At 37.3% G+C, this 15,738-nt stretch overlaps 2 pseudogenes across 1 annotated transcript in view; both read left to right on the top strand.

Annotated features, from left to right (window-relative positions):
- Positions 1-15,738, top strand: part of ANKRD20A9P (ankyrin repeat domain 20 family member A9, pseudogene) — a 60,825-nt pseudogene that overhangs the window by 25,270 nt on the left and 19,817 nt on the right. Inside the window, exons 9-14 of the transcript NR_138091.1 lie at positions 885-955; positions 4,985-5,146; positions 6,541-6,721; positions 7,897-8,429; positions 10,873-11,319; positions 12,852-12,989. The product of NR_138091.1 is annotated as an ankyrin repeat domain 20 family member A9, pseudogene (transcript). The remainder of the gene's footprint in view (positions 1-884; positions 956-4,984; positions 5,147-6,540; positions 6,722-7,896; positions 8,430-10,872; positions 11,320-12,851; positions 12,990-15,738) is intronic.
- Positions 8,436-8,931, top strand: RHOT1P3 (ras homolog family member T1 pseudogene 3; annotated as a pseudogene).

Here is a 15,738-nt window from a genome sequence, read left to right as displayed (position 1 = left end):
TACTAAGGGACCGCAATGAAACAGACACCTGTGTGTGTGGAGAAAGATAGCTAGAATCAAGGAAGACTTCACACAGCATTCTGAGCCTTTTTTTTTCTCTTTTTCTGTTGTTGGAGACAAGTTCTTACTCTATCACCCAGGGTGGAGTGCAATGGCGTGATTGAAACTCACTGCAACCTCAAACTCCTGGGCTCGAGGGATCTTCTCACCTGAACTTCTTGAGTGGCTGGGACTACAGGCACATATCACCATACCTGCCTAATTTTTTGTAGAGTCAAGGTTATCTATGGTTTCCAGGCTGGTCTTACAGTCTTGGCCTCGAGTAATTCTCCTATTTTGGCCTTCCAAAGTGCTGGGATTACAGATGTGAGCTATTATGTCCAGCCTACTTTCTGAGTCTTAAAAGATGAAAATAAATTTTTCAGAATAGCAGGGGGAAAACATTTGCGATGTAAAAAATGGTGTGCACACTAATTAAGATATAAACAATAATTTTGCAAATTAGTAACTGCCAACTCAATTAGTGTCTTGTTAAAAAGATACTGTTATGTACATTGTATATTTTGACTGTATTTCAAAATTTTGTTTTGTTTCCAACAGTTTTGTTGATTTATGTTGGGTGGAACAATTTGTGAGTGACCCTGAGATTTTGTATGGCTTGAACCTGGTGATATCTAGTGTCTCCCCAAATGGTTTGTTGAAGTTTTGGATAATTAGAAGTATTTCTTAAAGAAGTAAATATTTCAGTAAACATTAAGCTTCATTTAAACCCTCAAAATATAAAATACGAAGAAATGTTATTTTCTATTTATTTTTATAAAGATTATAGTCTTTATCTAACTGTTCTTAGTTCATTTGAACTAAACCAATGAATTTGTCAACAGAACAAGCCTTACCAGTGGCTTCAGAGGAAGAGCAACAAAGACGTGAAAGAAGTGAAAAGAAGCAACCACAGGTATATGAAAATTTAAGTTTCTTGTTTAATATTAGGTTTTTTTTTGCTTTAGTAACAAAGCATAGTCCAAATGACATGACCTTTTAGACTATACCTTTAGAATCCAATAGATCATAATTTTATATTTAATTTTTAAAACATTTTAACCAGTTATGAAACTTAAGATATTCTTACTATCTCTAGTAACTTATTCATTATTCTAGTAATTCTTACTATCTCTAGTAACTCATAGCTGTCTTTACCCTTGGAATTGAGGCAAGAATTTTTCACAATTATCTTGCTCTTTTATTTGTATAACCTTACTCATAATACAGAAGGTAACATGAAATATTGGGTCATATTACTAAGGAATAGAAATTATGAACAATTTAATAACGATGGCCGCTGAGTTAAACTAGTGTTAAAAGAGTCATCATTGCCAATGGTTCAAATGTTGCAGTTTTATATTGCTGGTCATCAGTGCCGAGGTTAAAGATTTATTCTGTTTTGTGGTCACCAGTTGACTTCTGTGTCTGTGTTCAGGGAGTGAATGGGGTCATAAAAACCAACCCAGTTGCCTTTTAAGAGAATCCTACCTTGCAGAATGGGACCTTTGGTATCAGGGTACAAACAATAACTTTATTTCAACATAAATACATAGTAAATATTACTAAAATTAAAAAAATCCAAACACTATCACTACTGGAACTTAAAATATATTAGAAGTGGATATCATAGTATATCATTTGAATTAGAATTTAAAATTTTGCTTCTCTTTCTTATTGGTGTTCAGTTTGGCTCTTAATAATTTAGTGTTTGCCTAGTCTCTAGTTAATCTTCAGAAATATACATGCACTGTAGGGGCTCACTCTTTCTGGTATGCTGAGGTAAAGTCTTTGTAAGAGAGGAAGCTTTTATAATACTACCTATCATCTTTGAATTCATTTCTGGTAGACTTTACACATAATGCATTAAGTTTAGTCCAAACAAACACTGAGAGTTCAGCTTGCCGGTTTATGTTTCTGTCCTATGTTAAGCCAAGGCAAATTATTTTTCACTTTTTAGTTACAATCCCATAATTGAAGAGTGGCAACACGCAGATTAAGTTTCACAGTTAAATTTTAATTATTTTCTAATATTTGTTTATACTTGATTAAAGCTAATTTTAGAACATGCACTCTGACAGAAAAGACATCTGAGAAACAAAACAAGCAAATTTGTTTTCCATTTTGCACCTGCCAAAAAAAAAAAAAAAAAAAAAAAGCCTCAAGAACCAGAACTGGGTAAGAATTGTGATAAAGGGAATCTATCTGTATATTCACGACTTTCTTTAAAATTCATTACAAACAAGTTCAAGCTGAATATTGGTAAAGGTTTTGGAAACTCCAAAATTACTGCTTGCCCTGAGGAAGAGCTTCTACATAGTAACTCTAAAGAGGGATGAACGAAAAAGGAGTGCCCTCTGATCTGATGAATCAGGTCCCTGATTGTGAGGAGAAAAATGCATCTGGAGGGTCTAACTCTGTGGCATTCCAAGCAGCACCTGAATAGAGGAATCCCATGTCAAATGTCTTTTTATTCCATTCACACTCCAGGTCCCTGAAATACACTTACCAGTCATCTTCTAAGCTTCATTTAAATGAAAATAAATCAGACTATGAAAATGATAACAAACCAGACACATAGCTTGTTTCTAACACAGATGATGAAAATTTTTGTAATGATACAGAAACTGAAACATTAAGGAACCCAGTAATTATGATTGAAATGAAAGATGATTAAGAGTTTCACATGCAAATGGCAAAAAATACAAACCCAAATACCACTAATTGGAAATTAGACATTAGGCATTGGCCTCAGTCTAGAGATCCAGAAAGTCTTTTTGATTTGTGGTTTACCCACCCCAAAGAAATGAAGCATATGATTCAGATAGAAAGCCACAGTATTTCTGCTGCTACAGATACTTATAAAAACAGAAAACCAATACAGTGCTTACTCCAGAAGCCACTATATGACAATCCCAGTGCTAATAACTACAAAAGCATGAATCTTGAATTATAAAGTGTGGGTTTATTCTTTGCCACATAGTGAGAGAACATCAAAAATATAGCTAGAAGACACAGCAAGATATTCCAAGGTCACCAACATGGCACATGTATACATATGTAACAAACCTGCACGTTGTGCACATGTACCAGAACTTAAAAGTATAATAAATAGTAAAAAAGAATGAGGTAGCATGTTACAAGTAGAGTTCCTGGCTTTGGAAAAAGAGAAAGTCCAACTTCAAAAAGACAGAGGTTCACTTGCTGCTGCTTTTTTCTCTTTGTCAATTATTTGATTTAGTCAGATTTTCTATTCAAGAAAATCTCATGTGTACAGTTACAGTGGGGTTATCTAAATGTGTAATTGTGTGTCAAAGTAGATTAGTTTTGCTATCTAAATAATGGTTCTGGAGAATGTTCTCATAATGTTTGTTCATTAATCAACCTAAGTCTTCCTATCAGTCTTCCAAGTGGCGTATGAGCTGGGAAACTAATTCAGCCATATACCATGTGACCTTTATGAACCAGATCAACATAAAGAAATTGCTAAAGAAATAAGCTCTAGATTCTAGATTCTTTTTTCTGTATTCATTTAGAGATGAATTACATTTATTTAATGATAGAATGGTAATACAATGGGAGGGAAGCAATGACTGAGATGAGCCACAAAAACACGTCTAGCCTTGAGAGTTGCAACGAATATTCCCAGCCAAATGAGTCTGTTTAATATGTTTTCATGCATGCAAGTTTATCTGCTTAGCTCAAACTGCTTGAACTTATAGTCCCATCATGGTTATTTCCAATATTTTGAAAACAAATATATACTTCCACATATTTTTAAAAATCACCACTCTCCAATATTTCTGTTGAATCAGACCTTACATTATGTTGTTTAATAAAGTATGGTAAGTTTTGGCATGTATGATTTTTATCATGTAAGAAGCATAATTTCTTAGTCAAAAATTTAGCCTTTGACTCTTTAGTAGAAAGCTGAGTTCTGTACATTGTGTTCTAAAGATAGACAAAAATCTAGAGATTTTCTTCTTTCAAAGTAAAAGCAGATGAGGCCTTTTTCCACCCTCTGAGGCATTAAATTGCTTTGCTCAAGTTAGACTTTTAATATATTTAATTTGATAAATTTATCTGGTAATATATGTAATTCAGCAATATGGAATTGTATCATGTTATATGGTGCCATGAAATGCTAGGGAATGCCACCTCAAGAGCTCTGGATGAAACATTTAATATGTCTTGGTTGGTTTGACTCCCATTATCAGTAGATAATGGGGCTAAAGTAGGTAACTGTATCCTATGTTTTCCACCTATAAACTTTTGTGGTAATAGAATGTGAAATCTGGGAAGCATGTCGTTTTCCAGAATTCTGCACTAGAAACTCAGCAGTTTCACTCTGCTTCTTGTGTTGTGGCAAACTTTGGTTCCCATAGTTCAGGGAGCACCTTTACTTTTTTGATATCCCAGGATTCAAAAAAAAAAAAAAAAAAGAGAGATAAAAGGCACTGGGGAAAAGAATAGCTTAGTGCAGAAAAGGGAAATCTTCTTTACTGTTCCTGAAGCCCTACAAAGTCACATCCTCTAAATCTGGCTATTTCATGTAAAATCCAGGTGGTAAAGACAGAAGACATATGTTATGCCTGTGTCTTTTTATTTCTCTGTTTCTGCCAGTCAGATAGCATAAACATTTATGTCAGATAGCAAAGAGTGGATGGGAATAAAAGCACAAAATGGAGAAGAGGACTTTTTAAAATTTTGGAAAATTCTTCCATTCACTCAAACAGAAATGAGCAGACTTGACAAAAATTTCATTGATAAAATGGTGAGTACCTTATAATTATAATAATTATGTATAATGATAAAATTAAAGTAAGCACAAAATACCTTTATCATTAAAATGGTGATAGTTAACCTGAATCAAGTGAAAAAATCAGGGAAAAAGTTCTTTTTATGAATAAAATAATAATTATTATTCATATTACTTTTATTAAAGGTCAAAGAAGGAAATAATACATACAAAAGTGAAAAAATACAACTATCAGAAAATATATGTCATAGTACATCTTCTGCTGCTGCTGACAGATTAACCCAACAAAGAAAGATTAGGAAAACAGCCTCAGCAATTTCCCAAGAAACTGAAGGAAGAGCATGATAGGTAAGTAAGCCTATTGCAGTGTGTTTGTTTTGTTTTGTTTTGTTTGGGTTTTTTTTTTTTTTTGAGATGGAGTTTCTCTCTTGTTGCCCAAGCTGGAGTGCAATGGTGTGTTCTTCCCTCACTGCAACCTCTGCCTACTGGGTTCAAGTGATTCTCCTGACTCAGCCTCCCTAGTAGCTGAGATTACAGGGATGTGCCACCATGCCCGGCTAATTTTTTGTATTTTTAGTAGAAATGAGGTTTCACCATGTTAACCAGGCTGGTCTGGAACTCCTGACCTCAGGTGTTCTGCCCATCTCAGCCTCCCAAAGTGCTGGGTTTACAGGAGTGAGCCACTGTGCCTGGCCACCTATAGCAGTATTTCACAGGAGATAATTGTCATTGTGCTATAAACTAATTCAAAATTGGACTAATATTCCTTATGATTAACAAGTTTTATATTTTTACCAGGGATATTTAGCCCTGTCTGGTAATCAGAAAAATGTAAATTAACATAAAATAAGATATATTTTGTAAAGTCATGCTGATATTTAAAAAGTAATTACTCATGTTGGCAAATGTGAGGAAAAAGGCATTCTCATACACTGTTGGTATATGAAATTGGTAAATTATTTGTGAAGGGTAACTTAGTGCTGTGTATCAAAATTTCAAATAACCTGACATCCCTTTAACTCAACAACTCCACTTCTGGGACTAGATTTCCCAGGAAAACATAACTTGTGTAAACATACACAAACTTATTAAGGGCATTAATTATATATTACACATAATGAACAATAGGCTAATTAATATATAAAATATATGTAATAAGAAGGTGAATTGAAAGTATTAAGAAAGAATTATAAAAAGTGTGAGGTAACAGATGTTAGACTCTTTAGCCTAGTTTTGGATGACAGTCATTTGCAGATATAGTTTTTGTGAGAGACATCTTACTCTGTAAATCATTTGGAGAGACACCCGCAATATTTCGTAAAGATGAAAATTTATTTCTAGTGAACTTATACACTTGTCAGTAAATAGTAACTTTAAAATTTTAGTTGATTGTAAATGACCTTTTCTAATTAGGGAGTAATTATGACTGTGTGATTTGAAAAGGTAATTTTGAACTTGTAACTTTACTGAATTATCTCCAGTATCCTTTTTTATAATATATACTAGAGTCACTAGTAATAAAACCTTTAGCAGAATATTCTTTCCTTACTACTTCTCAAGTATATGCATTCTTTTGAAGATGTTGAAGTGAGAATTTAAATATCTGAGAACTGCAAAGGAAAAATAATCCAGAACATAGAAATTTTATTAGGATAATAAACAACATCTGCAGAGGTAGATAACAGGATGAACTCTTTATTTTTTAACAAAATGAATTTCAAGATAAATGTCTTTATCTGCAGATGCACCTTACAACAAGAAAATGAAGAAAAAACAAATGTTAATATGCTGTACAAAAAAAATAGAGAAGAATTAGAAAGGAAAGAGAAACAATATAACAAAGAAGTTGAAGCAAAACAACTTGAACCAACTGTTCAATCACTAGAGATGAAACCGAAGACTGCAAGAAATACTCCAAATCAGGTAAATCAATCTTTGGTAAAAATTCTATATTTTAAACTTTATTTTATCAGTGTTACTTACAATATCCACTTGATTTAATATATATTATTTAGGTAAAAAACAAACCAGAAATGTTATCTCATTTTTAAAAATGAGTGATGACACTTACAGGTACAATTATTAATATATATTATAAATCTTGGCATCCACATAGGATATTATTTTATTACAAAGAGCTTTTGAAAACAATAATATGCCATAATATATACTTAGTGATAACTTATTGATAAAGATTTTGTTCCCAGTAAAATTGTTCTTGTACTTTCCCCTATTTCATATTGATTACTGTACCTAATATTATAAAGAAGAAACAGAAATTATTGCAATCACAAATAATCTCATGATATTCTTAGAAGAGGTCTATAAATTTTATCTTATTTACCACTGGTGTTTTGAAATAAAAGTTTTCTTTCGTATGGATATATTTACACCACAGAAGTAACTGTGATCTGTTGGAGAACTAGAAGTAGAGTCAGAAGTCCTGGGGAAAATCCTGTAGCTTGCTTATATTTTTAACCTTTCTTTCTCAAAATTATGGTAACTAGATGAGTTCATCAATGAATGTATATAGGAGTGACTAGTATAATGTGTAGATTTATGTTAGTAAATGTAATTCTTATAACTGACTATAAAAGTGTTAAAAGAGTCAAATTGGAATAGAATGTTATCAGTGAAACAGAACTGTAATAACTCTGGGAAATTTCATCTGTCCAAATACGTGTGAACTAAGGTTCTTACTATAGGGTGGTGTATAGGTTAGATATCAAAGTGTAAATGCAATTTTTTGACATATTTTAATTTAGTCAAATTTGTTAATGCTTTAATTTATACTTTTGAGTTTGTTGTAATTCAGGGAAAGGCTTTTCCAATTCTGAAATTCTTAAAAATTCTCTGGTGTGCATGTGTGTGTGTGTGTTTACTTTTATAAATTCATTGACTTTAAATAAATTTCTGAACTTTTTGGAATTTATGCTCTATAAGGTTCAAAATTTTGCTTCAACTTTTTCTCCAGTTGGATATCCACTTACAGTAACCTTTTTAGTGCATGGATGTGCAGGTTATTCTTTAACTTCAGAGGTAATCATGATATGTTATTTTATTGAGTACTAGCTAAAACTTTCTGTTGTTTTATTTAGGATTTTCATAATCATGAAGAAATGAAAGATCTGATGGATGAAAATTGCATTTTGAAGACAGATATTGCTATACTCAGACAGGAAATATGCATAATGAAAAATGACAACCTGGAAAAAGAAAATAAATATCTTAAGGACATTAAAATTGCTAAAGAAACAAATGCTGCCCTTGAAAAGTGTATAAAACTCAATGAGGAAATGATAACAAAAACAGCATTCCGGTATCAACAAGAGCTTAATGATCTCAAAGCTGAGAATACAAGGCTCAATTCTGAACTGTTGAAGGAAAAAGAAAGCAAGAAAAAACTGGAAGCTGAAATTGAATCTTATCAGTCTAGACTGGCTGCTGCTATAAGTAAACACAGTGAAAATGTGAAAACAGAAAGAAACCTGAAACTTGCTTTAGAGAGAACACAAGATGTTTCTGAACAAGTAAAAATGAGTTCTGATATTTCCGAAGTAGAAGATAAGAATTAGTTTCTTACTGAACAACTTTCTAAAATGCAAATTAAATTCAATACCTTAAAAGATAAGTTCCGGCCGCCGCCGCCACTGCAGCCTGCTGGGCTGGAGGAAGCAGAGCTGGTGCTGTCCCGGCTCTCTTGCGGGGAAGCAACTGAGGGGGCGCCTTGGGGTGGGTGCTCCTGGTGAGAGGAGTCCACTCCATGCATGTGGGCGGAGGCCATCCCCCGAGAGCCGCCGACATGAAGAAAGACGTGCGGATCCTGCTGGTAGGAGAACCTAGAGTTGGGAAGACGTCACTGATTATGTCTGGTCAGTGAAGAATTTCCAGAAGAGGTTCCTCCCCGGGCAGAAGAAATCACCATTCCAGCTGATGTCACCCCAGAGAGAGTTCCAACACACATTATAGATTACTCAGAAGCAGAACAGAGTGATGAACAACTTCATCAAGAAATATCTCAGGCTAATGTCGTCTGTATAGTGTATGCCGTTAACAACAAGCATTCTATTGATAAGGTAACAAGTCGATGGATTCCTCTCATAAATGAAAGAACAGACAAAGACAGCAGGCTGGAGTGCAGTGGTGGGATCTCTGCTTGCTACAACCTTCACCTCCCAGCCGCCTGCCTTGGCCTCCCAAAGTGCTAAGATTACAGCCTCTGCCCACCCGCCACCCTGTCTAGGAAGTGAGCAGCGTCTCTGCCTGGCCGCCCATAGTCTGGGATGTGAGGAGCCCCTCTGCCCGGCCGACCCGTCTGGGAAGTGAGGAGTGCCTCTGCCTGGCCGCCACCCCGTCTGGGAAGTGAGGAGCATCTCTGTCTGGCCGCCCATTGTTTGGGATGTGAGGAGCGCCTCTGCCCTGCTGCCCCAAATGGGAAGTTAGGAGCGCCTCTGCCCAGCTGCCCCAAATGGGAAGTGAGGAGTGCCTCTGCCTGGCTGCCCTGTCTGGGAAGTGAGGAGCGCCTCTGCCTGGCTGCCCCAAATGGGAAGTGAGGAGCGCCTCTGCCCGGCCGCCCCATCTGGGAAGTGAGGAGCGCCTCTGCCCGGCCGCCCCGTCTGGGATGTGGGGAGCGCCTCTGCCTGGCCGCCCTGTCTGGGAAGTGAGGAGCGCCTCTGCCCGGCTGCCCTGTCTTGGAAGTGGGGAGCGCCTCTGCCCAGCCGCCCCGTCTGGGAAGTGAGGAATGCTTCTGCCCGGCCGCCACCTGGTCTAGGAAGTGAGGAGCGCCTCTGCCCAGCTGCCCTGTCTGGGATGTGAGGAGCATCTGCCCAGCTGCCCTGGCTGGGAATTGAGGAGCACCTCTGCCCAGCCGCCCTGTCTGGGAGGTGAGGAGTGTCTCTGCCCGGCCGCCCCGTCTGGGAGGTGAGGAGCGTCTCTGCCCGGCTGCCCCGTCTGGGAAGTGAGGAGCACCTCTGCCCGGCCGCCCCATCTGGGAGGAAGTGAGGAGCGCCTCTGCCCGGCCGCCCCATCTGGGAGGTGAGGAGCATCTCTGCCCGGCTGCCCTGTCTGGGAATTGAGGAGCGCCTCTGCCCGGCTGCCCATTGTCTGGGAAGTGAGGAGCACCTCTGCCCGGCTGCCCGGTCTGGGATGTGAGGAGCGCCTCTGCCCAGCTGCCACCCTGTCTGGGAAGTGGGGAGTGCCTCTGCCCGGCCGCCACCCCGTCTGGGAGGTGAGGAGTGCCTCTGCCTGGCCTCCCCATCTGGGAAGTGAGGAGCGCCTCTGCCCGGCAGCTGCCCCGTCTGGGAAGTGAGGAGCGTCTCTGCCCGGCCGCCCCGTCTGGGAAGTGGGGAGTGCATCTGCCCGGCCGCTCCGTCTGGGAGGTGAGGAGTGCCTCTGCCCGCCCGCCCCATCTGGGATGGGGGGAGCGCCTCTGCCCGGCCGCCCATCATCTGGGAAGTGGGGAGCGCCTCTGCCCGGCCGCCCCATCTGGGAAATGGGAAGCGCCTCTGCCCGGCCACCCCATTTGGGAAGTGAGGAGTGCCTCTGCCTGGCCGCCCTGTCTGGGAAGTGAGGAGCGCCTCTACCCCGCCACCCCATCTGGGAGGTGTACTCAACAGCTCCGAAGAGACAGCGACCATCGAGAACGGGCCATGATGACGATGGCGGTTTTGTTGAAAAGAAAAGGGGGAAATGTGGGGAAAAGAAAGAGAGATCAGATTGTTACTGTGTCTGTGTAGAAAGAAGTAGACATAGCAGACTCCATTTTGTTCTGTACTTAGAAAAATTCTTCTGCCTTGGGATGCTGTTAATCTATAACCTTACCCCCAACCCCGAGCTCTCTGAAACACGTGCTGTGTCAACTCAGGGTTAAATGGATTAAGGGCGGTGCAAGATGTGCTTTGTTAAACAGATGCTTGAAAGCAGCATGCTCCTTAAGAGTCATCACCACTCCCTAATCTCAAGTACCCAGGGACACAAACACTGCCTAGGAAAACCAGAGACCTTTGTTGACGTGTTTATCTGCTGACCTTCTCTCCACTATTATCCTATGACCCTGCCACATCCCCCTCTCCGAGAAACACCCAAGAATGATCAATAAACATTAAAAAAAAAAGGTACAAGAAAAAAAAAGATAAGTTCTGTAAGACAAGAGATACTCTCAGAAAAAAGTCATTGGCTTTAGAAACTGTACAAAATGACCTAAGCCAAACACAGCAGCAAATAAAGGAAATGAAAGAGATGTATCAAAGTGCAGAAGCTAAAGTCAGTAAATCCACTGGAAAGTGGAACTGTGTAGAAGAGAGGATATGTCAACTCCAACGTGAAAATCCATGGCTTGAACAGCAACTAGTTGATGTTCATCAGAAAGAGGATCATAAAGAGATAGTAATTAATATCCAAAGAGGCTTTATTGAGAGTAGAAAGACCTCATGCTAGAAGAGAAAAATAAGAAGCTAATGAATGAATATGATCATTTAAAAGAAAGTCTCTTTCAATATGAGAGACAGAAAGCAGAAACAGTAGTAAGTATCAAGGAAAATAAATATTTTCAAACTTCTAGAAAGAAAATTTAAACATTTGGTTCTGGATACATGTTGAACCTAGTTGAATATAAAAATCAGTAGATAAAAAGTGTGTTTACTATACTGTATAATTCCATTTACATGAAGCATCCAGAAAAGAGAAATGTATAGGTACAAAAAGTAGATTAATGTTTGCAAAGGGCTGGGGCTGGAAGGTGGTAGTGACTGCTAATGGGCGTGAGGGATCTTGCAGTGATGGAAATGCTCTAAAGTTGGATTGTAGAGATGGCTGCACAGCTCAGAAAATGTACTGAAAATCTTTAACTTTATGTTAAAACAGATACATCTATAGTATGTAAATTATATTTTAACAAAGCTTTTTGATTTAAAAAAAAAAGAAAAATGTGTTTATTACATCAGCTTAGAAACATACCTTGTTTCCATAGAGGTGAGAGATGATTTACTTTGAGAGAAGACATTGTGTCACCTATGACATTTTATTAGGCACAGAGTCATATTTTAAGGTAGATAGTCCTGTAGTGCTGAAATAATAATTTTAATGTCTTTATGTTGCCACATGTTAAGACCATGATGAAGGTATAAATGGAAATGTTTACACCTGAAATGAGTGTTTTCAAATTAAAATTTAATTGATTTGCTTCAACACTTAATTGTAGATTTCCCAGATGAAGTGTATTGCTGTGTCTTGTAATATCTTGCTTTAAGTAGTTTTTTATATATTTTAGTTGGTATAGCTTTATTATTATTCATATTAATTTAACTTAAATCTGAAAATATGTCAGTCTCAAATTACATATTTTTATGACCATGTAATGTTTTAAAGGCACCTACTTGTTATAAAATTATAATTTAGGGTAAATGTAAATTTTAGCAAAACTATATTTGATTTAGTCTTCCCACTGGTATTCATAATTTACTTTGAATATTTTTATTAATAATTAGCTCATAATTTTTATTTCAAGGCTCAATGACTATCATTTGAATATAACTTTGTCCAGTACAAAGATACTGTAGCTGCCTGTGATTTATGAGTTAGGCATTAGATCCCCATTTTCAGACTAAAGAGGGGTGGCAGGCTTCACGTACAGTGGGAATGGAGTAATTATAGGAGGGAGTTGTAGGAGCTTGAAGTCAGAGAGGGAGGTAGAGGCCTGTTTACCTAGGGCCTCAGAGGCCATTGGAATTTTACTTTTATTCTGAGACAGGAATCTGTTGGAAGGATTTGAACAGTTGATTATGTTAGGAACTTTGAGGTTGAGTTGAGCTTCTAAGATGATTGAATGGTGGGATGAATCTGTTGTATTAAGAGAACACCAATTTGGCAGGAGGATAACACATTCTGCATCCCTCACTGAATTCAGTAATAAATAAAAATGTGTACATGTGATGAAAAGAAGGTGAACTGATGTGTGTGAGATAATTTTCAAAGTAGGTATGTTAGAGTTAAATGTTATTAACATAATTTAATAATAAGGCAATTTATAAAATCAGCAACAAAAATATTTTATCAGGTGGTTGTGAGACAACTTCAACAAGAAGTGGCTGATTCCCTTAAAAAATTAACTATGTTAGAGTCTCCACTGGAAGGTACATCATGTTGTCACATTAATTTGGATGAGACACAGGCCTCAAAGAAGAAATTATTTCAAGTGGAAAGTCAAGTATGTATGGAATTTAACATGTCGACAGTTATTCTGTAGCTGGTTGAATTATATAACATGTTTTAGGATACTAATTTTGGCAGAAGCTTGATTTTGTACTTTCATTATAATTAATTATTTCCATTTTACTATCTTTATAATGTACTTTTTTTTTATATTGTGACTTTTGTTCTACCATTTTGAAAAAGGATTTCATACCTTTTCTCTTACAATATGTACCCTTGGAAAAGTTGATAATTATACATTATTCCTCAGAGAAAATTGACTTTTTTCCTGTTAAACATATTTTCAAGTAATTTTTGTATTGCTATGATGAGGCAGGCCAGATTAAATCAGAGGACAATGTTTAATGGAATGTTCCAGAAAATTGTCTTATTTCTTCACTTTTGTGAAAGGACACAGAATCTGTGTCTATTTCACAGATTCTAAGTTAACTTGTATAGAAAGGCCGTTATACTGTTCTTTGAAATGTACATGTTTTATGTCAATTTACAAACTATTTGAAAAGTAAGGCATTTTCTTTATTTACCTTTTATTTAAAATATACTATAAAAGTATAGAAATATTTAGATCTGATATAGTATGTACATCAAAAATTGAGAGCTGAGAAAATTATCTTGATCCTGCCATTGTATTTTAAAAACAGTTTCACTGAGATATAATTCATGTATCTGACAGGTCAACCATTTAAAATGTGCAACTCAGTATCTGTTAGTATATTCACAGCATTTTCATCACCCTGAAAAGCAACCCCACATCTCCTAGGCATGACTGCAGCCTTCCTCCATGTCCCTCCACCTACCCCTGTTGTAGGCAAACACCATCTACTTTTGTCTCCATAGGTTTGCCTGTTCTGCATATTTCATATACATAGAGTTAGACAATACATAGTCCTTTGTGACTGGCTTTTTCACTTAGCTTAATGTTTTCAGAATTCATGCATGTTTTAGCACACATTGGTAGTTTATTTCTTGTTATAGTTAAATGATACTCTATTGCATGGCTATACTGGTTTTCCATTCATTCATCAGTTGATGGACATTTAGGTTAGTTTCCACTTCTAGCTATTATGAAAAATGCTGCTGCAAACATTCACTTAGGGGTTATTATGTGGACATGTGTTTTTATTTCCCTGCCATTGGACTTTATCCTCAGAGTTAATTGGGCAGATTTCAGCACTTGTCTTGCTCATGCTATCCTTTCTGCCTTCTCAGTTTCTGTTCATCTAGCCTCATTCATTCAGACCTGGCAGACAATTTTTTTGTTTTTATGAAGCTTTCTCTGACTGTTCTGATTCTCATTGACCTTATGTGTTAGGAATTGTTGTCCAGTCTGTGCAGAAAAACTTAGTCCTTAATTTTATGTGGCTTTTTCTTTTTTATGGAAGATAATTTTGTCTCAGTATAAATTTGCTTAATGGGGGAATAATATATAATATGTATGGCACCTATCCTTGCATAAATTGAAAATATTTTAGCTTAGAAATTTTTAGCATACAATTAAATACTTTATACCATACCAATTATTTGTTCTTTGAGACCTTGACACAGTAAGATTTATATTCTAAATGTATTTTTAGCAATTAAATATCAAATCTAAACCAATTAGTCTAATAGAGGAGACTCGTTCAATCACATGTTTATGTTTTTCTCTCTAAGAAAAAGAATCTAAATTGGCCTTTTTTCACTATGCAGCCATTACTGTATTTCTGGACTGCTCCCAGTTTGTCAGCTGAACAGTTCTGGCTGCAGCTTGTCTGATGACGGATAGCACAGCCCCTCAATCTCAGTGCTCAGCAGAGTGCTTGCGAAGGCAGCACCACAGCAACAGTTGCTCAGAGGGAACAGATTCAGGAGCCTTGGTTTAGCAATAGAGTCCAGGGTTTTAAGCTCAGTGTCTTTAGCCTGTCTCTACTGGTCATGTCAGTTATGTACTATTCCATCCAGGAGATGCTATTTACATTGTAGTACATACATAGTCATTGCCTACTGAGTCATACACAGAGAAAAGTAAAAGTAAGTTATAAATTATATGCCCCCCATTTGCTGCAACTCTCAGTGGTGGGAAGAATGATTCAGTGCAGCTATAGGAGACTACTTTCATTGGCATGCCACCTGCCTAACATACACAATTTTGTTAAGATATACAATAAAATTATTATGCTAATAGCAAATATTTTATGTAGCTCACTATGTTCCACGTACTCTTGTAAGTGCTTCATGTTAGTCCCCAGTTAAACACCTGGTTGGGGGAGGTGGCTCATGCAAGTAATCCTAGCATTTTGGAAGGCTGAGGTAGGAGGATCGCTTGAGCCCAGGAGTTTGAGATTAGCCAGAGCAATATAATGAGAACCTGTCTTTAAAAAATAAATAAATAAATACTTAGAGGCATGGTGATGCATGCCTGTAGTCCCAGCTACATTGGGAGGCTGTGGTAGGAGGGTCGCTTGAGCTTGGAATATTGAGCCTGCAGTGCGTGTTGATCAAGCCACTACACTCCAGTCTGGGTAACAGAGTGAGACTCTGTCTCATAAATAAAACGTTTTGTATAGATTCCCATAGAAGTGAGTTAGACATCAGGCATAGTATTGTTAGCCACTTTGATGTCTGCCTTGGGAGTAAAACATATAATAAGGGACAGCATTAAACCATCTCAATCAATAGCCTCTAACTTCTCAAGAAGGTTCTTATCTCCTGAATTTCTAAGCAAGAGACTACCTGGATGAAGACATTTGGTG

This window comes from Homo sapiens, chromosome 13, assembly GCF_000001405.40.
Source record: "Homo sapiens chromosome 13, GRCh38.p14 Primary Assembly".
NCBI classification, from domain to species: domain Eukaryota; kingdom Metazoa; phylum Chordata; class Mammalia; order Primates; family Hominidae; genus Homo; species Homo sapiens.
Note: the sequence above shows the minus strand (reverse complement) of the source record. Positions and strands in the feature narration are given on the sequence as shown.